At 46.7% G+C, this 27,040-nt stretch overlaps 1 protein-coding gene across 19 annotated transcripts in view, besides 2 other annotated features; it reads right to left on the reverse strand.

Annotated features, from left to right (window-relative positions):
- The window catches only part of ZMYND8 (zinc finger MYND-type containing 8), a 147,486-nt gene that overhangs the window by 15,618 nt on the left and 104,828 nt on the right, over nt 1–27,040 (reverse strand). For 8 of the 19 annotated variants that reach the window (NM_001281781.3, NM_183048.4, NM_001281777.3 and 5 more), the window contains 6 exons: nt 24,456–24,608; nt 21,177–21,686; nt 14,065–14,307; nt 11,495–11,685; nt 4,895–4,975; nt 2,372–2,450 (listed from right to left, as the gene is read on the reverse strand). In NM_001281781.3, coding sequence (NP_001268710.1) covers nt 2,372–2,450; nt 4,895–4,975; nt 11,495–11,685; nt 14,065–14,307; nt 21,177–21,686; nt 24,456–24,608 — 1,257 coding nt within the window. Of the gene's footprint in view, nt 1–2,371; nt 2,451–4,894; nt 4,976–11,494; nt 11,686–13,926; nt 14,308–21,176; nt 21,687–24,455; nt 24,609–27,040 lie in introns of all 19 variants that reach the window. The other 11 variants (NM_001281784.3, NM_001281778.3, NM_001281783.3 and 8 more) reach the window with 3 other exon arrangements.
- Nucleotides 7,992–8,061: an enhancer, noted in NCBI's record as "active region_17981". NCBI's record gives its function as "activates an Ori minimal core promoter by ATAC-STARR-seq in GM12878 lymphoblastoid cells {active_cell/tissue: GM12878}" and the evidence as "EXISTENCE:reporter gene assay evidence [ECO:0000049][PMID:35858748]".
- Nucleotides 9,502–10,002: an enhancer, noted in NCBI's record as "H3K4me1 hESC enhancer chr20:45863077-45863577 (GRCh37/hg19 assembly coordinates)". NCBI's record gives its function as "activates a minimal SCP1, AML or CMV promoter by ChIP-STARR-seq in primed H9 embryonic stem cells {active_cell/tissue: H9 hESC(primed)}" and the evidence as "EXISTENCE:reporter gene assay evidence [ECO:0000049][PMID:30033119]".

The raw sequence follows: 27,040 nt of genomic DNA on the forward strand, positions 1-27,040 counted from the left end.
TGGGAATTCCTCAAAGTAACCCTTGAAACAACTGCCACCAAAACTCACTTTCTATCCTATTATTCATTAACATAAGCCTTTTCCCCCCTATCAATCAAATACCTATACAGCACCCACTACATGAAGGCACTGTTCTAAGAACTTTATAAATATTAACTCATATAACCCTCATCCTAATAATCCTACGGGGTAAGTACTACTATTCTACCCCTTTCGCAGATGAGGAAACCGAGGCAAACAGCTAGCTGGGCCTAGACCTCAGGCGTGCTTTCTTGTAGGTGTCTCCTGTGGCACTGGATCCAGATGGGACTGTGGTTGATGATTATACTAACAGGACAACTATGAACCTACTCAGTCTACCAAGATTTCTCTAATTTTACTTCAGACAGTTAAGTCCACTGGTAATTCATTTAGGAGTGACCTGCTGGCTGTAATAAAAGAAAAATAGGCCAAGTGCAGTGGCTCATGCCTGTAATCCCAGCACTTTGGGAGGCTGAGGCAGATGGATCACCTGAGGTCAGGAGTTTGAGACCAGCCTGGCCAACATGGTGAAACCCTGTCTCTGCTAAAAATACAAAAATTAGCTAGGCGCGATGGTGTAATCCCAGCTACTTGGGAGGCCGAGGCAGGAGAATTGCTTGAACCCAGGAGGCAGAAGTTTCAGTGAACCGAGATCATGCCATTGCACTCCAGCCTGGACAACAAGAGTGAAACTCCATTGACAAGGGAGGGGAAGGGAGGGGAAGGGAGGGGAAGGAAGGGGAAGGAGGGGATGGGAGGGGAATGGTCCCTCAATTCCTTCAAATACTCTTCCTGAACTTTATAAAGTAAAATTAACCCCTCATAAAGAAGTTAACTACCTGTGGCCAGACAGAACCTTTGAGTCAATCTAACTACCTTTAACTAGGGGTCTGTAAACCATAGCTAAGTTTTGGCCAGCCCACAGGTAATTTTTTCAAATGTGCAGTCAACACATAAAAAGAAAAGGATTTTATGAAAGTAAGATTCCCTGATTTTATTAGAAAAACAAGAAGTGGTGGCAGGGGCAGTGGATCACATCTGTAATCCCAGCACTTTGGGAGGCTAAGGTGGGTGGATCGCTTGAGGCCAGGAGTTTGAGACTAGCCTGGCCAACATGCTGAAACCCCGTCTCTACTAAAAGTACAAAACTTAGCCAGGCATGGTGGTGCATGCCTGTAATCCCAGCTACTCGGGAGGCTGAGGCATGAAAATCACTTGAACCTGGGAGGCAGAGGCTGCAGTCAGCTGAGATTACATCACTGTACTCCAACATGGGAAACAAGAGTGAGACTCTGTCTTAAAAAAAAAAAAAAAAAGGAAAACGAGAAGCAACAACACCCAAATCAGCGTCCAGAAAGAATGAACCAAGGGCTCCTCTCCAGGGGGCTCTGAAAGGATTCATGTCTGCAAGGTGTGACTTAGATGCTGACCACAAGTGAGCAGGTAGGCACACCTGGGCATGGGTCCTCAACCTAAGAGTTCTCCTGGCTGCCAGCAGCCCATCTGATCTGATACTACGTGAGGGGCTGAAGCAATCACTTCTACCTTTGGGGAAAAGCTTAACTATACAGAACGACAGGCCAAAACATCTGTCAATCTAATCCAGGGACCAATAAAGTATCTTTCTCCGCACTGAGCAGTGCACAGGAAGCATCCAGATATTGTTAAAGTGCCTAGCATTCCATGATGAACAGGGTGAAGAGTGCCCAGACTTGAACTGTGGCCGTGTGACTTTGAATAATTTCCTCAACACGTCGGTTTCTTCCCTTGAAAACTGGGGATATGTCCACGCATGCGGAGTGTGAAAAAAAGGAAAGGAAAACCAGGGATATAACAGATCCCTTTATCACAACAGTTTGTGTAATGAAATTAGTTAAGTGCACTGCAGCCTTAACTTCTCAGGCTCAAGTGATCCTCCTTCCTCAGCCTCCCGAGAAGCTGGGACCACAGGAGCGCACCACCAGGCCCAGGTAATGGTTTAAAATTTTGTGTAGAGATAGGGTTTCGCCAGATTACCCAGGCTGGTCTTGAACTCCTGGAATCAGGTGATCCTCCCATCTGGGCCTCCCAAAGCGCTGGAATTACAGGTGTGAGCTGCCGTGCCTGACCAATCCTCATTATTTTATTGTTGAGGCTGGTGTTCTGAACAGAGGAAAGGGGGGCTCCCGCCAACACCCACTCTTACACCTGGTTTCTCCAGGCCCAGACTCTCAGGATTCTGTGGTCTCCCTACGAGTCATACAATCCTAGCCTAGCTTTAATTGCACTCACATCTCGGCTTGACTCCAGAGGTGCAAAGAAGTTCACACCCAAAACCCTCCTCAGTCCAGACCAGTGTGTCAGGCCTTACCTAAGTTGTGTTTCATTTCGGAGAGCTCTTGCTGGTGCAGCCACTGGAGCTTCTCTATCTCGATCCTCAGCCTGCGAATCTGGAAGAGGGAGAGTGAGCGTCTTCAAAAGCTGTCTCATGCAGTTCACCAGGAGGGCTCAGAAGCTCAACCACGGCTGGCTGTGAGGGGTATGGGAATCATGCTAACCTTCCCACAGCTATAGTCCAGAGAGGTGATCACTGGTGGGTGAACCCAAATTCACCAGAAACACTGGTTCAGAAAACCAAGTATAAACAGGCCATCAATTCCAAGAAATACTGGCACGAGGGAAAGCCACTTAAAGTGACAAGGACCAGACTTTCATATAAATAATATATTAAGGGTTATTTAGGATTTTGGTCTATAAATACGTAACAAATACAAAGATAGCTGGATTTTCACTCTTACATAACATTTAGGTGGTGGGATCCACACTTATTCACCTGAAATTCCAAAGCCTGACATCTCTGAAAACCAAAGGGTATTTCTGGGCAGAGGAAGTGTAACTTTGGATCCAAACTCATTTGAAAGGGCAAATAAACAAACAAACTCGACCTGATCTGATAGGAAACTAATTAAACAGTGTTTTGGCCAGGTGCGGTGGCTCGCGCCTGTAATGCTAGCACTTTGGGAGGCCAAGGTGGGTAGATCACCTGAGGTCAGGAGTTTAAGGCAAGCCTAGCCAACATGGAGAAACCCTATCTCTACTAAAAATACAAAAATTAACCGGGCATGGCGGCGCACGCCTGTAATCCCAGCTACTTGGGATGCTGAGGCATGAGAATCATTTGAACCCGGGAGGCGGAGGTTGCAGTGAGCCAAGATCATGCCACTGCGCTGCAACCTGGGTGACAGAGCGAGACTCTTCTCAAAAAAAAAAAAAAAAATTTAATTTAAAAAATAATAATAAACAGTGTTTAATTATCGCAGTAGTTCTTAACTGGGGCAATTTCGAGTACTCTCCCCTGTCATGAGAATGTCTGGAGTCATTTGCGGTTGTCACAATTGAGCAGTGTTGCTGACAGGGATGCTGCTCAACATCCTAGAATGCACAGGGCAGCCCCACAACAGAAATTATCTGGTTCAAACGTCAGTATAGCTAAGGCCGAGAAAACCTGATTAATTCACGTAGTGTGAACAATCACATTTCATTGCAGAAATGGTGTCTCTAATTGTGGGGGACTGCATATTATAACCTCTCTAAAATCCAAAAAAAATTCTGGCATACATCCAGACCCCAGGTTTCAGGTGAGATATTATGAACCTGTATTTTCAACCACACACCAATTCTTACAACGTATACAAACAAGAATGAAGCTGTTTCTAAAGCCTTATTCTTTCCCTTCTTATTTGATGTCCAAAGCATAATCATAAAGGTCATACTTGCAAAACTATTCAAGGGGATTCATTGATTTTTCTTGGGTCTCTTAAATCTTTGTATTCACATTGTCTTCTGTTGAAGGGACCACCAGGTTGCCTTCCTGAAGATCTTCTCCTCTTCGTCTGAGCACCAGCCTAATGCTGCCAAGTCCTAAAAGGTCAATAGCTCTGCAAAGGATTCCCACAGCTCCCCAACGTCACCTTAAATGACCTCTGTAAGTCCTGCCATTTGTCATTTCACCTGATAACCCGTTTGCATCTGGCCTACATTGTACCATCCACAGACAGCCGGCAAGTGGCCCACTCTCCAAGCCCTGATAGGGAATTAGCCTAAAGGGGAAGTTCAGGGAGGTGTATTTTTAAAAGCGGATGCTTTATAAGTAGATAGCTTAATTTTTTTTTTTTTCCTTAAGAGACAGGGTCTCATTCTGTCTCCCAGGCTAGAGTACAGTGGCACAATCACAACTTACTGCAGCCTCAAACTCCTGGGCTCAGGCAATCCTCCTGCCTTAGCTTCCTACAGGAACACACCACCATCTCCTGCTTGTTTTTTTAAAATTTTTGTAGAAATGGGGTTTCACTATGTTGTGCAGGCTGGTCTCAAACTCCTGGCCTCAAGCAATCCTCAGGATTCCCAAAGCGCTGGGATTACCACAACTTCCCAAAGCGCTGCGATTACAGCCAACATGCACAGCCAATGAAATGTCTTAACCACTTTCTTGTCTACACAATCACATAATTATGGAGACTCCAGTACACAAATTATTGAACAAGAAGAAGCACTTGTATTAAAAAGTCCAAACTTCCAGAGAAGATTCAGGAGCCAGTTTTACATGAAGCAAAAAGAACTGGTGTCCAGTTTCACCAGTAGGTTAACTGAAGCTCTGATTTTGGCTGTTTTATTAGAAATGAATTGATCACACAAAGCAGGGCATGTCTCCACAGCCCCAGCCGTCTGGCTAAAGGAAAAAATACCCCCATCGATAATGACAATCAGTAGAGCCAGCTTAGTGACCAAGCCAGGACCCCAGAGGGGTTTCCAGAGAAGCTTCTTCATGGTACCACCTTTAAAGCAGCCCACAAAACACTCTTAGCAAATAAGAAATTCATGTGTCATCTCTGACCTCAGCTATTGTGCTTCCAGTAGTGTTTTTAGAAAGATCGTTGTATATTTCTGTCATTGTTCCTTTTATTGCATCCATCATCTGAAAGATAAAAACAGAAACAATTCAGCTGATCACTTCTTGGAGGCTTTTCCTGGTGACAAATACTTAAAATCTATCTGTATAAAGCAGAGGTTCTCAACTTAGGGCAATTTTGTCCCGCATGAGACACTGGGCATTTCTGGTTGCCATGACAGGTGCAGGAGCAAGGAGAAGGAGCTGCTACTGGCATCTAGAGGGTCGAGGCAGGGACACTGCTAAACTTCCTACCTGAACCATGCTAAAGGCACGGAAGGACCCCACACAAAAAACAATGACCTACGAGCCCAAAATGTCACTAGCACTGAGGTTAAGAAACCCCAGCATTAATGGGGTAAAAATTTCCAACAAATTTCATGGATCGCATTGTGGTGCCACTTCATAACCATAAAGCTAGTTTCCATACCCACATAAAGCTAGTTTCCATACTACAGTTTGGCTGAAACCGGAGAGGCCAAATTTGGCCCCCAGATGTGTGGTGTTTTTTTTGTTGTTTTTTTTTTTTTAAGATGGAGCCTCACTCTGTTGCCCAGACTGGAGTGCAGGGGCGTGATCTTGGCTCACTGCTACCTCCGCCTCCAGGTTCAGGCGATTCTCCTGCCTCAGCCTCCCAAGTAGTTGGGATTACAAGCGCACACCACCACACCCAGCTAATTTTTTTTCTATTTTTAGTAGAGACGGGGTTTCACCATGTTGGTCAGGCTGGTCTTGAACTCCCGACCTCAAGTAATCCACCCACCTCGGCCTCCCAAAGTGCTGAAGCCACTGTGCCTGACCCCCAGATGTCTTTTATTTGCCCAGCACAGTAGGTTCGAGAGAAGGATTACTTTGTTTTGGTTTTCATTATTTCCCGTCAAAAAACCAGCACCGCTTTATTGAGGTATATGCATATACTATACCATTCATTCATTTAAAGTATACAATTCAATGGCTTTTAGTACCTCAGAGTTGTGTATCTGTCACCACAATCATTTCACAACATTTTCATTACCCCAAAAAGAAAATCCCACTCCCCCGGCCTTAGTCTTCACCTCCTGGTATCCCATCCCCCGCTCCCCCAGCGCCTGACAACCACTGATCTGCCTTCTGTCTCTCCACATTTGCTCAGTCTGGACATGTCATATAAATGGAATCACACAACTCAAGGTCCTCTGTGACTCGCGCATCCGTGCTGCAGCAGGCAGCGGAACTTCATTCCTTTTTATAGTCCATTTTACAGATATGGCTGGTTTGTCATTTTAATGCCTTCAGTCAGGACACTGTCTTTGCGGTTCATTTCCCATCTTTAACTATCTGACCCCTGAAGGCATCAGCCAGTTGGTGACATCAGCTAAGGTCCCTGCAGCAGGCACCCAGGGATTTGCTGACTATGTTAATAGGATGAATTTCTCTTCTACCTCCCACCTGCCAGCTGACTCTTCCCCCATTACAGCAGAAAGAGGAGGGGACAAGAGATCAGGCTCTGTCTCAGGCCTGGCTTGACTGGTGCTGAGTCTCTCCAGTGCTTTCTAGATGCCCCAATTCAGGGAGAAGGCGGGACAAAGAGCAGCCTCCTATCTGATGCCTCACTATGCACTGCCTCTAAGCCTCGGTTTCCCCACAAAAAAACAAGAACTGCATGCCGCCCCGGTAGGGTGTGCACGAGGATTAAATGAAAAAAACCACGCAAACACTGCAGCTCGTTACCTGCCACGGAGTAGGTGTTCATAAAGAAATACCCATTCATCTTATTTTTAAAGAAAAAGAAATTCATGTAAGTATGCAATTGCGTAATTGCTGCCAAACCCCAAAATAGTAGGCCCAAATTCACCCCAAAATGGAGTAAAATGAATAAAATCTCTGTTGAGATTTCCGCTCCCGGCTTGCTGCGGAGCCCACACCAGGCCGTTGCCAGCAAAAACACTCTGCGCTTTCCACGGCTTTGCAGCCCTCCTGCACTTGCCTCCTTGCTCTGTTGCACCCACTGTGTCCATTTTAAAAATTACAACTAAATGGCTTTACAAGAAAACTTTAAAAAGTGGGTGAAATTCAATACATTGCTAATGTAATGGTCACATTCCACTTCAAAGATATCATGCATTCATGGACTGCCTTTTACTCTTAACTTCCAAATATAGCAAAGACTTCAACATCGGTAAAGAACACCACTTTGCCAAAACACACAGAACTGCGTCTTCCACTCCAGGTCAACTCAGAGACAGGAAAAGTTCATCAGCTCCCAAAAAATGTCACTGTGTTCATTTTTTTTAACTTCAAAGAAAACACTTATCAAAAAAGTCATTCCTGGACAGGCACAGTGGCTCACGCCTATAATCCCAGCACTTTTGGGAGGCAGAGGCAGGCGAATCACCTGAGGTCAGGAGTTCGAGACCAGCCTGGCCAATGTGGTGAAACCCCGTCTCTACCAAAAATACAAAAATTAGCCAGGTGTGGTGGTCAGGGCACCTGTAATCCCACCTACTTGGGAAGGTGAGGCGAGAGAATCGCTTGAATCTGGGAGGAAGAGTTTGCAGGGAGCTGAGATTACACTGCTGCACTCCAGCTAAGAGTGAGACCTTGTCTCAAAAATAAATAAATAAATAAATAAATAAATAAAGTTTTGCCAAAAGTGTCAAGGGGAGCTGGGGTCCTGAAGACCCAGCTACCTGGGGAAGCCAAGGTGGGAGGGTCGCTTGAACCCAGGAGTGGCCAGCCTGGGCACCAGGGTTAGACCCCAACTCTAAAAAAAAAAAATTTCTTTTAGTAATTTTTTAAAGAACAAAGGGGATGCAGAAGGTAACAAAATTAAAATGGCTGCAGGAGCTGAGAAAACAGCCTTCCTGCAAACCACTAATCAGACCCACTCAGTAGGCCTCAGCTTTCCCATTCATAAGCAAACAGCTGGGACTAAATCAAGGGAAGGTGATGTAAGGACAACCGAAGGTAGAACAAGAGATCATTCAGGCAAAACCAGACACCTACTTATATCACTAACGAAAAAATTACCCGCTTTCAATTCTCTAATAATCCTACAGATTGCTTCAGCAAGAAGTCTCAGTTTGGTGCTGTTATGCCTTTAACACTTTCATGACAACCTCCCCCATGTTTTTTTTTGTTTTTTTTGTTTTTTTTTTTTTTTGAGACAGAGGAGTTTCGCTCTGTCCCCCAGGCTGGAGTGAAGTGGCGCAATCTCAGCTCACTGCAACGTCCATCCCCTGGGTTCAAGCAATTCTCCTGCTTCAGCCTCCTGAGTAGCTGGGATTATAGGTGCCTGCTACCACACCGGGCCAATTTTTGTATTTTTAGTAGAGACGGGGTTCTGCCATGTTGGCCAGGCTAGTCTCGAACTCCTGACCTCAGGCAATCCACCCGCCTGGGCCTCCCGAAGTGCTAGGATTCCAGGTGTGAGACACCGCACCAGGCTTTTTTTTTTTTTTTTTTTTTGAGACAGGGTCCTGCTCTGTCCACCCAGGCTGGAGTGCAATGGTGCAATCACAGCTCACTGCAGCTTCAAACTTCTGGGCTCAAGTAATCCTCCCATCTCAGCCTCCCGAATAGCTGAGACTACCGGCATGTGCCACCAGGCCCAGCTAATTTTTTTTTATTTGTAAAGACAAGATCTCAGTGTGTTGCTCAGGCTGGTCTTAAACTCCTGGCCTCAAGGGATCCTCCCACTTGAGCCTCCCAAAGTGCTGCGGTTACAGCCACTGGCTCAAACAGCCACACTGAATCCTAAGAGGAGTTGCTTATAAAAGTCATGTGGCAACAGTTTGTGGACCATGAACATTTGTGGTCAGCAGGCTTGTTTGAAATGCACAAAGCAGTTCAAAGCCAGGTTAAGTGCACACTCTCTAGGGCCTGGCTGCTATCATTCAAAGTCCAGCTTTGCCATTCACTAGCTTGTGACCCTAGACACACTGTGTAACCTCACCGGGCTTCAGTTTTCTCATCTATAAAATTGGGGTGATAACAGTACCTACACTTCATCAATTTGTCAAGAAGACTGAGTAAGTAACATACAAAAAGTGCTTAGGACAGCATCTAGCCTAGAGTAAATGCTATGCAGACATATTGCTACCTTATGTGGTAGGCAAACTCTAAGTGGGCTCCCGATGATCCCAACCTACTAATATTTTGTGCCCATCTGTAATCCCCTCCCTCTGACCTAGCAACTTGCTTCTACCCAATGGAATACAGCAAACGTAATGAGGTGTCACTTCTGTGACTGGCCTAAGTAAGCCTGTCACTTCCATCTTGCCAGCAGGCTCTCTCCATTGCTGGCTTTTGAGACAGTTTCGCTTTGTAGCCCAGGCTGGAGTGCAGTGGCAAGATCTCGGCTCACTGCAACCTCCACCTCCCAGGTTCAAGCAAGTCTCGTGTACCAGCCTCCTAAGTAGCTGGGACTACAGGCGCATGCCATCATGCCAGGCTGATTTTTTGTATTTTGGTAGAGATGGGGTTTCACGATGTTGCCCAGGCTGGTCCTGAACTCCTGAGCTCATGCAATCCACCCACCTCAGCCTCCCAAAGTGCTGGGATTACAGGTGTGAGCCACCATGCCCAGCCTCCATTGCTGATTTTGATGAAGCAAGCTGCCATGCTGGGGAGGCCCACATGGCAGGGAACTGAGGGTGGCCCAGGCCACTTGCCCTCAAGAAGTGAATCTTGCCTGCCACCACCTAAATGACCTTGAGAGTGGATCCTTTCCCAGTTGAGCCTTTGTGTGAGTCCCAAACCCTTGCAGACACCATGACTGCAACTGCAAGAGATCCTGAAGCGGAGAGCCCCGTGGAGCCATGCCCAGATTCCTGACCCACACACACTGTAGGATAATAAAGGTGTGTGCTGTTTAAAGCTGCTAAGTTTTGTGGTAATTTGTTCTGCAGCAATAGATAACAATTACACCTACACAGAAGAAATAAAAAGAAACATGACCAATGAAAACTCATTTGTGTAAAAAAAAAAATTCATATATATTTCTCTCACCACTCAGAATTTTAAAAGATTCCTCTTCCCTTAACTCAATATAATAAAGCTAACTCTTTATTATTAAGACTATAAGAATTTTAGAAACAGGCTGGGTGTGGTGGCTCACACCTGTAATCCCAACACTTTGGGAGGACTAGGCAGGAAGATCACTTGAGGCCAGGAGTTTGAGACCAGCCTGGGCAACAAAATGAGACCCTGTTTGCATTTTTTAAAAAGAAAGAATTCTAGAAACAACCATCCTCAATTATTTTCATCCATTCTAAAAACTAGAACTGTTTACTCATCAGTATTAGTAATCTACTCATCAGTAAAGAATAAATTATTAACTACTTAGTAATTTACTAACTAATCTCAGTAGATTATAAATCAATAGCTATTATTAAGTTATTGATAATAATTGAAGCCAATAAAAACAAAGCCCAACTATGGGTCAAGCACTTACTACATGCCAGGCATTGTTCTAGGCCTTGGCAGTGAGCAAAACAGACAAAAATTCCTGCCTTTGTGGACCTGACATTCTGGTGGTTATTATTACCACCGTGGTCTAATGACAAGATACACAGCACATCAGTCCAGCGCACTCTCACATGACGCTGAGAACTGCAGATGGTATCTACCTGAATTCAACAGTGACCATAAAAGCACTTGGCAGGCCGGGCCTGGTGGCTCACACCTGTAATCCCAGCACTTTGAGAGGCCGAGGTGGGTGGATCACCCGAGGTCAGGAGTTTGAGACCAGCCTGGTCGACATGGCGAAACCCCATCTCTACTAAAAAAATACAAAGATTAGCCAGGCATGGTGGCGCGTGCCTGTAGTCCCAGCTACTTGGGAGGCTGAGGCAGGAGAATTGCTTGAACCCAGGAGGCGGAGGTTGCAGTGAGACGAGATTGTGTCACTGCACTCCAGCCTGGGGAACAGAGTGAGACTCCATCTCAAAAAAAAAAAAAAGCACTTGGCAACTTAAGAGAAAAAAAGAAGGGGCCTGTGCTGAGACAGTTCCCATGAGTTCACCAACAACAGGCAATCCTGCCCACCATGCCACTTAATGGGGACTGTGCCCCAGAGGGCAGGAGACAGGGGAGAGGGAGTCCCCTTGGTCCCCCTCCCCATCCATCTTGATTCCTGGAAAAATCAAAGTGTGGGCATCTCACCTTGCCAGTCTCATGTTTAAGTCTCTGTCACTTCTGCTCCACATGCAAAGCTCTAAATGCAAACCAAACCCCTGGTCAGCTGTTCACTGAAGGATCAGTCATGTGTTCCAGTGCCTTAATGAGTGACTTGAATTCTCGAAGGTAATTCTGATTATGTCATTTGCACTTTATGAACTGACTTTAGAATCTAAGCCCACTTGGAGTAAGATTCAGTCCATTCTACATTTCTCTGTTAGACCCAAATTAAAGAACGTGGTCTTGGAGATTCTGTTTTTAAAAAAAAGGGTCTTCACTCCCTAAAGACTGCAAGGTTAAGACGCTCACGCTTCCCCTCGGGAGACCAAGATTCTGGCATCCTGCCAGGTGTCTGCCATCTCCACGGTAGCTCTCCCATCCACTCACTTTGCTAGTGTACTTGGCAATATCAGCGGCGACATCAGCTGAGGCAGTGGCGATGGGCAGGTCAGCGTTGACTGAGGACACAAGGGTGCTCATGGACCCCGAGCTGGTGACCAGGGGCGATGACTGTGTGCTGGTCACCAGGGTGATGGTGGACGTGGATGGGCTCTGTGTGATCTCCTTCTGCTGGACAGCTAGGAAGGCAAAGCATCCTGATTACCCCACGTGGGAAGGACCCATCCCAGCACAAAGCTGTGGTGTAGAAGCAAAGCCCCTAATAGACATCCTGAGAGCTTTTCTACTTTTAAATGACAAAGATGCTCCCCTTGACCAAACTCTATCCAGGTTTCTCAACTAGGCCCTAACCTTGGCCTGGAAAGACTTGAGCAAACATTGACAGTTTCTAAGAGCTCAAGAGTGCATGCTAGGATGACCCCAACCCCCTCTTAAAGCGACTGCCTGGGAAAACTCAATGCTGGCAAAAGAACTGACAGTTTTGTTCCAGCCAACACCTGAAGACAGGACCTCAGCATCCCAGTGTCTATGGGAGAGTAGGGGCCCAACTTCATGAAGTGCCCGTTAGCAAATCAAGATGTTTAACTTCCCTGACTCTACTGAGGCCCAACTCGCTCCCATCCCTACTCCCTCATTCTCCCTTTAAAATGTCCAGTCACCCCTGTACAAATCAAAGTTAATTTCAGCTTATGCTAGACTCTTGCCCCTATTACAGTAGCATATTACCAATTTAAATTGGTCTTTACCCCTTTAACTAGGCTTTACTTTGGCGTAAGACAATCTGAAGCAATGAGCCACTTTTTGGCAGCGCTCTTTTTTTTTTTTTTGACAGTCTCACTCTGTCGCCCAGGCTGGAGTGCAGTGGTGCAATCTTAGCTCACTGCAACCTCTACCTCTGAGGTTCAAGGGATTCTCATGCCTCCCTCCTGAGTAGCCAGGGTTACGGGCATGTGCCATCATGCCCGGCTAGTTTTTTGCTTTTTTTTTTTTTTTCCATTTTAGTAGAGATGGGGTTTCACCATGTTGACTGGGCTGGTCTTGAACTCCTGGCCTCAAGTGATCTGCCTGCCTTGGCCTCCCAAAGTGCTGGGATTACAGGTGTGAGCCACCACGCCCGACCCTCTTCTTGGTAGCAATTAAACTCCCCTGGGGAAGTCTCCTGCTTATGAGATATGAAGACAGAAGACAGGAAGCCGCAATCCCAATCTCAAATATCCTAGACTCGGCTTTGCCCCACCAACTTTTTAAATAGCAAGATTAATCCAACTGTACTCTCAATTTTGCCTGGCCAATTCTTCAGGACCCACTCCCTCGCCATCTGTGAAGGGTTTCACTGGGGGCCAATTCAAGACCTGGCCACCTTTCAACCTCACATTCTGCTGCTCATGAGCCCCCCTCACAGGGGCGCATTCACTATGAGTTTCAGTTGAAGAACCCAGCCTTTGAGGATCTAGATGCAGGTTTCCTGGTAGAAAGATCTACATCAATGCTCACAAAAGCCAGGCAAACTGGTACCAACCAGTCAGATCAGCACTGTGTTTGGCCTAATTTCAGCTCCAGATGGAGCCTCCTGCAGGACTGGTGGGAGTTCTGATTCTGCAACTTCAGCAAGTGGTTCTTGAGGCTGGCTCATCTTGTGTGTGTGACGAATCTCCAGTTACTAAGGTAACCTTCGCTATCAACTTCTCGCACTGTACTTTTTCCAAAATAACTCCAAGAGGTTCCCTCATGTGCACAAGGAAATTTATACAAAGATATTCATTGCAGCACTGCTCACAGTAGAAAAAAAACTGAAAGCAACCTAAATGCCCATTAGTAGAGGAATGCTTTAAATAAACTATGAAATACTATGCAGCAGTCCAAAAGAACAAGGCAGGGCTGTATGTGCTGATGTGGATGGACCTCCAAAACATGCTGATGGGTGGGGGAAAAAAGCAAGTATGGTACCATTTTTATGTTTTAAAAAAGAAAAAAAGGGGGGAAAAAGGACTAATTTTATGGCATCATATACATGATGCGCACATATATACATACAGATATGTATATATACATATACATGCATACATGCATAGAAAAGCTTTTACAACGGTTGATACTGGCCACTGTGGAAGGGAAGAGAATGAAATGGAAGGTAAACGGGATAACAGACTTTTATGTAAAACTTTCTGCCCCCTTTTTAAGGAGAATATATGCATGTATCATTTATAAAATGAACAAAAAAAACTTTTTGAAAGTAAAAAAGCAAGTAGCAAAACAATTTTTAAAAATAATGCCAAATGGAATGTGCAAGGCCTTCAAGATACAATGGCCCGGAAACAAACGAGAACTAAAAAAAAAAAATAAAAGAGCAATGACTTTCTCCTGTCGATGTGGCAAAATGGGAGCGGGCGCCACGGAGAACAGAAGGGGAGGCTCGGTACCTTTCACAGCCTGTCTGGTCTGATATCTCGTCCCCTGGGAAGACTGAGGCTGCTGCTGCTGGTTTTGCTGCTGCTGCTGCTGCTGCTGACGCTGCATCTTCTGCATGTGCCACTTTTGGGAGGACGTTTGAAACTTACTTGATGAGTTCCACACGACCCGCTGCACGGCCGGGGCAGTCTCCTTCGGTAAAAGCGGCCTCTGCTTTTTCACTGGGCTTCCTGTGGCGGCGGGGGCCGGGGCCGTGACGGTGACCGTGGAGGACGTGCTGGTGGTGGCTGTGGCGCCAGCCGCGGAAGTTTGGGCGGAAGAGCGGGTGAGCACCGGTGTTTCCGGGGGAGAATGGCTGCCCACCGTCGTGGATGGTGGAGTTTTACCTACAACTAGCCAATGCATGAAGAAAAAACAAACAAAAACCGGATTTCACTCAGGTTCACCTGCACGGTCTTGACGCCACCAAGTTCTGGGTAAAACCTATGAAAGCCAGGAATGCCGAACCAATTCGACGTGCCAAGCACACCGCGCTGGAGGAGTACATTCTCACCTAACGCTGAGGCCACTTCTGCGGCGTCTTCCATCTCCGCGAGCAGCGGCCTCCTTTACTGAGCGCCGGCCCACATCTGAGATACAAGTCAAGACCTCTAGGGGAGAATGAGGCAAACAAGACCCGGCTCCTGCGCTCAAGCTCCCCTACACCTAGTGGACAATGCGGTGGGCGAACAGATTCAATGTTCACGCCCTTTTCGCAAAGTTAAAATCTAGTCGGCACCTTGAGAAGGGCCCAGCGGAAGTCAATCCAGACAGGAAGAGCAATTCTTTGGCTAGGGAACGTAGAAAGCAATACCTCCAAAGAGCCAGATGGCCTCCCAATGGCCAAAGCAGTAACACTCAGTCACCCAGAAAGAAAAGTATTCTTTTCATCTCTTCTGATTCCCTCCAGGACAAAGTTTGAAGGCGGTACTGATAGCCAGGACAATACCAGGAAAACAAATTCTGCCCCAAGGCCAGAACCTTCCCCCAACGCAATGGTACTGATCTAGGATTGAGTAGCATTGCTTTGGTTTTGATTGGATTTATTCCTATCACCAGCTTTTATGTATACTGTGTGCTACTGTTCTTATTGGGTGGTGTTCAAGTCTAAAATGAGTTTATACTTGCAGATGCTTTTTTCAGGGGAAATTTTTTTACTAAAAAAATGAGGCCAAGCACGGTGGCTCACGCCTGTAATCCCAGCACTTCGGGAGGCTGAGGCAGGCGGATCACTTGAGGTCAGGATTTTGAGACCAGCCTGACCAACATGGGGAAACCCCGTCTCTATTAAAAATACAAAAAAATTAGCCAGACGTGGTGGGAAACTGAGGCAGGAGAATTCCTTGAACCCAGGAGGCGGAAGTTGCAGTGAGCCGAGATCGCGCCACTGCACTCCGGTCTGTGAGAAAGAGTGAGTGAGACTCCGTCTCAAAAAATATTACTAATAGGCCGGGCGCAGTGGCTCACGCCTGTAATCCCAACACTTTAGGAGGCTGAGGTGGGCGGATCACTTGTGGTCAGGAGTTCAAGAGCAGCCTGGCCAACATAGTGAAACCCCGTCTCTACCGAAAATACAAAAATAGCCGGGTGCGGTGGCAGGCGCCTGTAGTCCCAGCTACTCAAGAGGCTGAGGCAGAAGAATCGCTTGAACCCGGGACGTGGAGGTTGCAGGGAGCCGAGACCATGCCATTGCACTCCAGCCTGGGTGACAGGGTGAGACTCCGTCTCAAAATAATAATAATAATAAATGAAAAGTAAATAAAATGAGTTTATTTTATTTATTTATTGAGATGGATTCTCACTCTGTCACCCAGGGTGGAGTGCAGTGGCACAAACTTGGCTCACTGCAACCTCCGCCCTCTGAGTTCAAGCGATTCTCCTGCCTCAGCCTCCCGACTACGTGGGATTACAGGCGCCTGCCACCGCACCCAGCTAATTTTTTTTATTTTCAGCAGAGACGGGGTTTCGCCATCTTGCCCAGGCTGGTCTTGAACTCCTGACCTCATGATCCATCCGCCTTGGCCTCCTAAAGTGCTGGAATTACAGGCGTGAGCCAACGTGCCCGGCCTATTTTATTTTATGTTTTAAAGAGATAGAGTTTTGCTATATCACCCCGGCTGGGCTCAAGCAAGCCACTTCAGCCTCCCGAATAGCTGGGACTACACGGGACGTGCTACTGTGTCCCGCTTTAAATGAGCTTAATTTTATTTTTAAAGAATGAGATTCTTGGCCGGGTGCAGTGGCTCACGCCTGTAATCCCAGCACTTTGGGAGGCCGAGGCGGGCAGATCACGAAGTCAGGAGTTCGAAACCAGTCTGGCCAACATGGTGAAACCCCATCTCTACTAAAGATACAAAAAATTAGCCGGGCATGGTGGTGTGTGCCTATAATCCCAGCTACTTGGGAGGCTGAGGCAGGAGAATCGCTTGAACCCATGAGGCAGAGGTTGCAGTGAGCCGAAATCGCCCCATTGCACTCCAGCCTGGGTGACAGGGCGAGACTCCGTCTCAAAAAAAAAAAAAAAAAAAAGATTCTTTAAATAAAAAAAGTCAAAAATTATACAAGCAGGACTTGAGAACGGGAAAGACAATGAATGTGAATGACTCAAGTTTGAAAAACGCTGCCATATGGAGTATGTCATCTTGGAGGAGCTGGGCTGGTGGGGAATAAAGGGTAGGATTTCAACAGGCGGAAAGTGAGAATCTGGAGGGAACAGCATCAGCCAAGATATGTCTAGGAATACAGAGCATTTGAGTAAGTGAGGGCAGGCAGGGAGGAGGGGCTGGAAGGGAGGTTAGAGCCAGAAGCACTGAGCAGCACGTAGAGGCGATGACCACACGGGAGCTCATTTGTAAAGGTGGCTCAGTTATGGATGCACAGGCCTCAGCCCCCGGTAAGGTGAGCCTATGCCCCAGAGAGGATATCTGGGGAACACACACCACACCCAGGTACAAGCCAGCACCCCGATCTTGGACTATGCTCCCTGACATCAAACTCCTTTAAATAAGGATTATGTCTGCCTCTTTTTCTTTTCTTTTTTTTTTTTTTTTGAGATGGAGTCTTGCTCTGTCACCCAGGCTGGAGTGCAGTGGCGCGATCTCGGCTCACTGCAAGCTCCGCCTCCTGGGTTCACACCATTCTCCTGCCTTAGCCTCCCGAGTAGCTGGGACTACAGGTGCCCGCCACCATGCCCAGCTCATTTTTTGTATTCTCAGTAGAGGCGGGGTTTCACTGTGTTAGCCAGGATGGTCTCAATCTCCTGACCTTGTGATCCACCCGCCTCGGCCTCCCAAAGTGCTGGGATTACAGGCGTGAGCCGCTGCGCCCGGCCTATGTCTGTCTTTTTAAGATCAGTATTACCCAGAAAAAGACATGAGCCTGATTACTCCAGCAAGGATTTTCATTCAGTAAGCTGTGGGTTTTAAGAAGCCAAGGAGGGAAAGAGACAAGCTGACTATCCCGACTTCAGAGGGCGTTCTCGATGGTTATCGAGATGTTGCTGGCCCTTGTACTTCCCCAGAGAGGAGAATCCAGCCAAGCTGGTCAGCAAGAGCCTGGGGTGGGTCTGGAAGGAGAGCTTCCTGCAGTGAAGAACTCCGATGCTTCCAGGGCCACCTGCCAGATATGGGGCACAGTCCCCGCCTCTTCCAGGTGGAGATGAGGTGTTGAACTGGGCCCTTCTAAGAGGAGGGCAGGGGGCAGTGCCTTAGCAGAGCTTCTAACCCACGTAAGTGCCTTCAATGCCTTCCTTTCCTGCCACATTACCAAAAAATATACTGTTATTGTTGATGAGCTAGCCTGTCTCCCCACCGTAAGGGCAACCGCAAAATGGTCGTTTTCTCTCTCCTGATTTGCAAAAGCAAACAGCCAGCAGGGCGGAGGGGTTACTGCTCTGCAGTGATCACAGCTGGCTCTCTGCCAAATAAAGAACTAGAGTATACAATCCGATAAGATTCCAGGCTCAAAATTGTTTGAAGTTATTTAGATATCAAAATATTTAAATTTCCAGGAATCCTGATGGTTTATGGAGACAAAATGAGGCTACAGGAAATTTCATTTGTCCCAGAAATCTGGAGTACATAATCAATCACCTGTAGCGGGAAAAAAAGGGTGAATTTTTTTTTAAAGGGTCAGCACCTGAGAAGCTGCCCTATCAAATTAACCTACTTAATTCCTGAATTTGTCACTGGTCACTGTTTTTCATTTATAAAGCAAGGACTTTTTAAGAGAAAAATTAGCATCCCCTTTGTAGAAGGATGGAAATTACTGATGTGCCAGTGAAAGCACAGCGAAGAGTCTAAGTGTGCTCTCTTTGCTTCTGTTCTGAGGTTATTAGCTATAAAAGCTGTTTTGCCATCTGAAGATTCATATTCTACCCATAAGCTGCATCCCTAGTGGAAGGTAAGCTGGAGGTCACAACAGCGCAATCCAAAATGCCCTTCACTTACTAAACTCTTAAGTGAAAACACATCATTGAAAAGATGCTCTCTAGCGGAGTCTGACACGAGAATTTTTCAAGACCCAAACCACCATCAGCTCTGAATTTAAGATCAATTGGTTTTGCCCCAAGCCTTAGGAAGCTGCTCTAACTGAACTGTGTTTTAGAATCATCTTCAGCTTAATTGTCCACCATCTACTAAAGCTTCCTGGAGAAATTCCCTTCAGACATCAATGTGAGGAAAAGTTCTACTTCTTTTAATCAACTAGAATGGTTTTTTGTTTTTTTGGAAAGTATGAGATCTTCTAAGGTACTGTGTTTCCCATTCTGCTTTCAGAGCCAACTTCCCTAACTCTGAAGATTGAAATAGTACAGATTTCTGTATAAAACCTTTCCCCAGACCACTTGCTATTCTACCTTCATTTTCCTTTTACATGGATGTCTTTATTTTCATCTTGTTTCATATGGTTATGTATCCTTGTCAATCTGTTGCAAATTCTTTCTGGAAGAGGTAGGGGCACAAAACCAATCAATCAAAAGATCTGTTCCAGAAAGAAAGAACAGTATAAATATGTCACTCATAGGAGCACTGCCATCTGCACCCAAATATTCCTACGATCCTCATGAAATAAATGCTACTCCTATTGTTCTCTGCAACAACAGAGACAGTCTCTCAAAACCCAATCCATAACATACTCATATTTTTCAGAGGCCATCTATAAATCTAACAGATGGGTCGGGATGGTTTGATGGCCTATCCTCCCTCCCTTATGTAACTGTATCTCTCTCTTCCTCCACTGTACCTCTCACAGACATTCTCTTTAGCTGAACTGCAGGAATCCTCTCTCACTCTGACAGCTGAGGTTCCAGAGCAGCCCAGGTTGACCATAACCACAGCAGAAAGATTCTCAAGGCCCATCCCTGACTTGCTTTAAGCCACCAGACAATGGAAACCCCAAAGGACATGGAGTTACATCTTATTCAAGGGTTTCATTGACAAGTTAGCTCCTGATAGAAGTTAGGCACAGTCAAGATTTAAACCTGGCTATCCCTTAAGTCACTCGCCACATACATAAGGTTTTATGGCTACAACCTGTAATTTGTCCTGGGGCAATGTTTCTTCTGGGCCCTTAGTTAATTCTTCAGTATCTTTATTGAGCATGTTGAATCCTCTAACCTAATTGCCAAGCCAACTCAAAAATGTGCTGAATACTTTGTCAGTGGGAAGGACATCCTTCCAATCATTCCCACACCCCTTTTGTTGGGCTTGTTAACATGCCCAGGCTGCACTAGGCTGTGGGGTAGTCACTGCTGGTTCAGAATATAACCGTAGCCTCTGAGACTCAGGGGATATTTGGCAATATTTGATTGCCACATTTGTGACTGCCACAACTGAGCAAGTAAGGTTGCCATCTGGCTGGTAGAGGCCAGGGATGCTGGAAAACATCCTCCAATACACAGGACTAAGAATTAGCCAGGGCAAACTGTCAGAAGTGCAAGGTTGTGAAACTCTGAGCTAAGTTAAATGCAAATAAGATTAAAAGCCAGTAAGGCCAGACGCAGTAGCTCATGCCTGTAATCCCAGCACTTTAGGAGGCCGAGCTGGGTGGCTCACCTGAGGTCAGGAGTTTGAGACCAGCCTGGCCAACATGGTGAAACCCTGTTTCTACTAAAAATACAAAAATTAGCCAGGCGTGGTGGCAGGTGCCTGTAATCCCAGTTACTTGGGAGGCTGAGGGAGGAGAATCACTTGAACCCGGGAGGCGGAGGTTGCAGTCAGCCGAGATTGTACCATTGTACTCCAGCCTGGGCGACAAGAGCCAAATTCTGTCCGCCCCCCCTCCCCAAAAAAGCCAATACACATATCCACCATACTCCATTTTCTAGTGCCCTAAGAAGCACTCAGTATTCTGGCACCAATCACCCAAATACTGTCCTACTACTGTAAGAAAATACACTTGGAGATGCCTAGGTGGCATGAGGGGAGGAAAGCAAAGCTGAAATCATCAAAACCTTTGAAATGAACACTGCTTTTTTTTTAGAGAGGGAGTCTTGCTCTGCCACCCACACTGGAGTGCAGTGGCGCAATCTCAGCTCACTGCAACCTCCGCCTCCTGGGTTCAAGCGATTATCCTGCCTCCGCCTCACGAGTAGCTGGGATTACAGGCGCCTGCTACCACGCCCCGCTAATTTTTGTATTTTAGTAGAGACAGGGTTTCACTATGTAGGTCAAGCTGGTTTTGAACTCCTGACCTCAAATGATCCACCCGCCTCGGCCTCCCCAAGTGCTGGGATTACAGGCGTGAGCCACCATGCCCAGCTTGAAATGAACACTCCTAACCGTTTGAGACTTGTCAAAAGAGAATGAGATGTCTGTGGAATGCAGCACTGAAGGACCATTTGACAAGATCCAAATGTTAACAAACACTTTGGGGAAATAAATGAGCATATTGGAAAAGAAGCTGCTCAGACTAAAAATGACTTGGTCACTAAAAGTAACCATCATTTTCTAACAGACTTCTCTTTCTGTACTCAAAATCAATCATACTGGATACCGAGCAGGTTAAAGGTAGGCAGGCCCATGTTTGAGTCCAGGTCCTGTTCTATGACTAGCTAGGCAACCTTAAACCAAACACAGCTTCACTGTGCCTCTCTCTCAGTGTGTTAGAGGGTCACATAACTTCTGATTTGTTTCTTTAAGGGTCACATAACTTTTGATAGTAAGTGTACGAGGTAGGATTCTAAACCAAATTAAGAAAACTGGAAACAGATACAATCACTTACCATCCTGTTTGGGAGATGGTTCTTTGGGTTCCTTCTTATTTTTTCGACCCTCCCGCCCAGAATGGTCTTCTCCTAAATCTATGACAAGTTCGCTCTCTGAATCAGAGTCCAGGCCCAAATGGACTGTTGGGGAATCCGTCTCATCTTTTCCCTTCAGTTTATCCTTTATGGGGTGAGGTGAAGGTTTTGCCTTTTCGGAAAAGTCCTTCTCAGGCTCAGGGCTGGCCTTGTCCTTGACTGCTCCAGGGTCTGCCTTCTCGCTGGCTGGTGACGTGCTTTTCAGCTCCTCTTTAATCTCCACTGGGTTTGTAGGCTTGGGCTTTTTTTTAACAGCAGATGGCTCTTTGTCCATCTGACAACCTTCTTTGTCCTCTGTGTCTTCTGGCTCGTTCTTAGACTTCTGCTCATCATCACTGATATACTCACTATCGCTACTATCTGACTTCTCAGAATCCTCCGAATCGCTGTGCTCTACGGCCGTATAGACATCTTCCGAGATTTCATTTATGCCTAAATTCAAAAAGAAAACCCAGCATGTGGCGTAGTCACAAAATAAAGAGCAGGATGAAAAATGCAAACATTTTTCCACACCAAATGCTGGAATAAGAAAAGCACGTTTCAAATCGCATCACATTGGCCTAAATGGGGCCAGTAATAATCTCAAGTGGCAACTGGCTACGGCTGCCAAGTGGTACTTGCCTTGGGAGAGGGTTTTGGTTGTTAGGAGACACAGGACCTACCAACGGAGATTTTAAATTTATATGGCACTAAACATGTGGTGCCAAATTTTTGCAACGTTGATAACTAATTGGGATTATTGAGAATGAAGAGGGCTGGAAGGGAACAGCAGGGACAAGCTGTTCAAACTGATCCAATTTACAGATTAGAAAACAGAGGCCCAGGGATATCACCTGCCCTAGGACACAAGACAGAGGCCAGGCCAGAACCCCGGGTTCCTGGCTCCCCACCAACACTCTTCCCTTGGGTTTCCAAAGGGTTAAAGTTCTTGATCCTTTGTGTCTAGGCCAAAGAAAATAAGCCAAAGCCTTAAAGCAGAGGTTGCAAACAGCCCACAAGCCACATCTAGCTTGCAGACATGTTTCATGCGAGAGGCACTGGTTTGGCCCACAGGGTATCTTGTCTGCTTTTAATTTATAAATGTGTTGTCCAACTCACAAATCAGGAAATTTCATATAGAAATCAAAGCAGGGGCTTCTGATGAAAGAGCGGAAAATCTAGCCGCTCTGGGTCACCAGCCTGCCAGGCATTGGCTGGAACAGGAAAGCCACTGGCTCCTCTAGGCGGGGGACACACTTGTCTCCAGGTGACCCGGGTGCCCAGCCCTCCCTCTTGTTCCCTGCACTCGTGGAAAGTCAACTGCCACTCGGTGTGCATTGCTCTTCCACTGGTAAAGGAGTCAAGAGAGAAGTCACATACTTCTGTCTCTTTCAAAAGGAAGAAGCACAAACTAGCAGGTGTTTCATACACACAAACAAAAATGGGCAGAAGCACATTTCTAACAATAGTTCCATTTAACCCATTTACGGCTCCTGCCCCCAACCATATGTTATGCCATCATACTGTAGATAATAATACCATATCCTAAACTTTTAGAAAGAGGAAAGAAAACCCAATCAAGTCTGTGCAATCTCTTCATTCTAGAGCAATGGCCACTGTGAATGGTGCCACTGTCCGACTTGTATACACCAAAAAGAAACCTGCAAAAATACCAGAGCCATGAACAGCCCGGGGCATGGGGGATCAGCTGGATCATTGGGGAATGTATCTGCCTCCACCAGGGCTCAATCAAAAACACAAGTCGAGCCAGGCATGGTGGTGCACACCTGTGGTCCCAGCTACTCAGGAGGCTGAGGCAGAAGAACTGCTTGAACCCAGGAGTTCAAGGCTAGCCAGGGCAACACAGGAAGAACACAAGCCAAAATACAAACACCCAGATCTGGTATAATTCTGGGATCCTAGGCTTGTGCTACTGGTAGGTAATGATTGGAAACAAGAAGGAAAAGTGTAAGCACATATGTGATAGGAAAAGCTTGGGTACTGCAGTCCAAAGGACATGAATTCAAATCCTGCTTTTCTGTTTTTATTACTGGTGTGACCCTGAACAAGTTATTTATCTCTCTGAGCCTCAGTTTCTCTATCCGCAAAATGGGACTGATAAAAGTATCAACCTCCCAAGACAATCTATATGCAGTGCTTAGCATAGTGTCCAAGGAAACACTCAGTAAATGGAAATAATAAAATTCTTATTAGCAATAAAAACAAATCAAGAGTTGGGCCAGCTGCATGGAAGGACCCAAGAGGATTATTTAAATGGCATGCCAAATTTCACCCATGCCACCCAATGTCCTCACCAAACAGGCAACCCAACGGGAGCTGTTGTCCTCTGGATAGCCCCAGATGGGTCCCTAACTCTAGCTGCTTTCTCACCTGAAGATGCAGAGCACCCACTGACACTCAGAGGAGCTTGCTCTCCAGAGGCCCAGCCATCCCCCACTTCTTTACAAATGCCCTCCTAGCTTTACTTACTTATTCAACAAACATTCCAGAGCATCTACCATGTGCACAGACCAAGTACCATAGAGAAGGCAAATCCTCATAAAACGGCCTCCCTGCCCTCAAGGAGCTTCCAGTCTAGATTGGGAGGGACACCCCCACACAAAGGGACCATTGCTACTTCCGAGCAATGAAGTACCAAAGGAGGAGGGCAGATGGGGAGGGCAGTCAGGGGAGACTTCCTGGAGGAGGTGAGATCTGAGCTCAGCCTCACAGAAGGCAGGATTCAGGTAGGCAGTGTGAAGGCAGGCAGCACAGGGAAGAGGAAGAAAGGCAACAGCTACAGAAGCAGGGTTTGCCCGGTGGGGAGGAGACCAGTCTGGAGGGAAAGGGTTTCGTGTCGGACACCTACAGAACACACTCACTACTCGTGTGGAGACACTGATGCGTACTGAGGAGAGCAGAGGCAAAACTCAGAGGATCCTCATTCTGCTTGCAAACCTTGATGATTCAAACCTGTATCTCGAGTTTCCAGACTGCTTTCACCAAAGAATAAACTGATGAGTTCAAAAAGCCCTGAATTAACTAGCAAGTCTGAAGTCTTTTGCCATGAGTGGAAATATATTTTAGCTGAGCAAATAGTTGAAAGTTAAAGCAGCTGCTAAAAGCAGCCAGGATTCAACCTTGATTTCATCCAGGTGGTATCCCTACCAGTAATGATAACAATGATACTGCTGGAAAAAAAAAACAAAACCAAAGGTATACCTAATTGTGCTTTGCAACTCTCTATGGTCTTGTCAAGATTCAGCTGGAACCTGCTACGAATCTGGCGCTTGGGAGAGATGAGAGGAACAGGGGTGGACTGTTGCTGGACCGACTCGCTCAGCTCCTTCAAATCCATCTCAGCTTTGCTTCGATCTGAAAGAAACCATCACACCCTCGTAAGATCAGGCACACACCATCCTCATCACGGAGCTTCGTCCTTGCAAAGTCAGAGCAAAACACACATTTTAGAACATGGGGGAGGGGGAGATACTTTTTTTGTCATTCATCCCAACAATATCATCTGCTCAACCAAATGGGGTGACATGAAGATAATGGCCCACGTGAACACGTTTGGCAGGTTTAAACAGTCCACTGAACAATCGTCTGGGTGACTTTCAATATTTAAAATGGACAATCCCAGCCAGATGGCTCAGTGTGTGGAAGTCAACATCATTAGGGACCCTCCAAAGACAAAGGTTATGGGCAGATATTCAATCTCAATTTCAGTGAACAAAGCAACACTGAGCCTGGTCAAGGTGTACTTGTAACTTCAGGTCCAGATTGAAGAGGACTTGTATCCAAGAAAGATGGCGACCCCCTCGAAAACACCCTGATAATTGGGGGCCCTAAATGCCTATTTGCCACAGAGGCTTCATTTTTCATTCTCAGTGGACCTAGTCTGGGGTGGAAACTAGAAAGGGCAGGGAATATAAGATAGGCAGACCTTCCAGCCAGTGTGTTGTGGCTCACAGCATCTATGTGAGGCAAGGGGAACAGATTAGCCCTGGATACTCAACCTCTGTCTAACAGGTCTCGCTCAAGTAAGAGTCCAAGGTCCTCAGCCTAGTTCCCAGGCAGAGGCCTCTGGGGGGTGACTCAGGCCGGAGGTCCTGTCCCCTCACTTCTTCGAGGGCTCTTTGTAGGACCAGCAGGACAGATTCCAAAGTCAGTGAGCTTACATTTCTTGGATTCCTCTCCCACCGACTCCAGTGCCCCCAAAATATTAAGAGTTTCAGTGGCTGCAAAGGTCCAGAAAGCAACAAGCAACTCTGCAGGTGGGGCCTACTGTCCTCCACTGTGCCTGCCACCCTCTGGCATCCCCTCCAACCCACCCAAAGCGAGTGTGAGGCATCTGTCCTACTCCGGCCGATCCCAAAAAATAAGTCAGAAAGCAGGTGGAATCCAATCAACCCACAAAGAGGAGAAGCCACCTCTGAGCCTGTTCCCAACAGCTATCAGGTTGCTCCCTGGACTTCGTGCTTCATCTCCCTGCTCCCTCCATACCTCAGGCCACCTCCATTCATTGGGCTGTGAAAGAGGCCCCAGAATCTAGTCTGAGAGCTGGGCTGGAAGCACTGTTTAAAGCCATCACTCTCTCCTACCTTTTTCCTTTGGCCTGACCCAACCACTTTCCTGTTCATGCAGTAAGGGAGAGTTCTCAAACACTGCATACCCAGAAATCAGCTCCTTCAAAGTAACTAGAAGCAGCCTCCCAAAAGCCCCACCCAATCCACTCACAGGTGACCAGAAGCAATAAATTGCTCCAACTTAATTTTATCAGCCCCCAGGATAAGATTAGAAAGAGGTCTTTTCCCAGCCAGGTGTGGTGGAATGCACCTGTAGTCCCAGCTACTCAGGAGGCTGAGGCAGGAGAATGGCTTGAGCCAGGAGTTAGTGGCTGTACTGAGCTATGATCACGCCACTGCACTCTAGACTGGGAGACAGAGCAAGACTTTTTTTTTTTGAAGGAAAAAAAAGGAGGGAAGAGATGGGTCTTTTCCTAAATCACACTTACAGACTGCCCCTCCCAGACCCAGGGAGATTCCAGAAGTGAGTGCTCAAAGCAAGCAGAGACACTATCCCTGTAATTCAAGAAAAATAGCAAAAACAGTATCTGTGTGCATGCATGTGTGTGTGCACACTTATCAGGGCTTTAAAGACAGGCTACTAGAGACAGGACTGCAGACATTCACACAGCCACCTCTGAGAGGGTGAAGAATGTGCAAATTTACTGCAGTGGGGCCAGGCACAGTGATTCACACCTCTCCCAGCACTTTCGGAGGCAGAGGCAGGAGGATTGCTTGAGGCCAGGAGTTCGAGACCAGGCTGGGCAACATAGCAAGACCCCCATCTCTACAAAAAATACAAAAAGTAGCTGGGCTTGGTGGTGCACGCCTGTAAACCTAGCTACTTGGGAGGCCGAAGTAGGAGGACTGCTTGAGCCCAGGAGTTTGAGGCTGCAGTGAGCCATGATTGCGTCACTGCACTCCAGCCTGGGTGAGCAAGATCCTGTCTCCAAAAAAAAAAAAAATTTACTGGACAAAGAACTAGAAAACTCTTTATACCCGTCTCTGTCCGGCAAGAAATCTGAAGTAGCTTAACAAAGAGAAATTATAGGGTAAAATAATTTTAAAAATAAGGAATGGGGAACACTAAAAGAAAAGGGAGGAGCGCCTCTGCCCAGTCGCCCCACCATCTGGGAAGCAAGGAGTGCATCTCTGCCCGGCCGCCGCACCGTCTGGGAAGTGAGGAGCGCCTCTGCCCCGCCCCGCACCATCTGGGAAGTGAGGAGCACCTCTGTCTGG

The sequence above is a fragment of the Homo sapiens genome, chromosome 20, assembly GCF_000001405.40.
Source record: "Homo sapiens chromosome 20, GRCh38.p14 Primary Assembly".
Classification (NCBI taxonomy): Eukaryota; Metazoa; Chordata; class Mammalia; order Primates; family Hominidae; genus Homo; species Homo sapiens.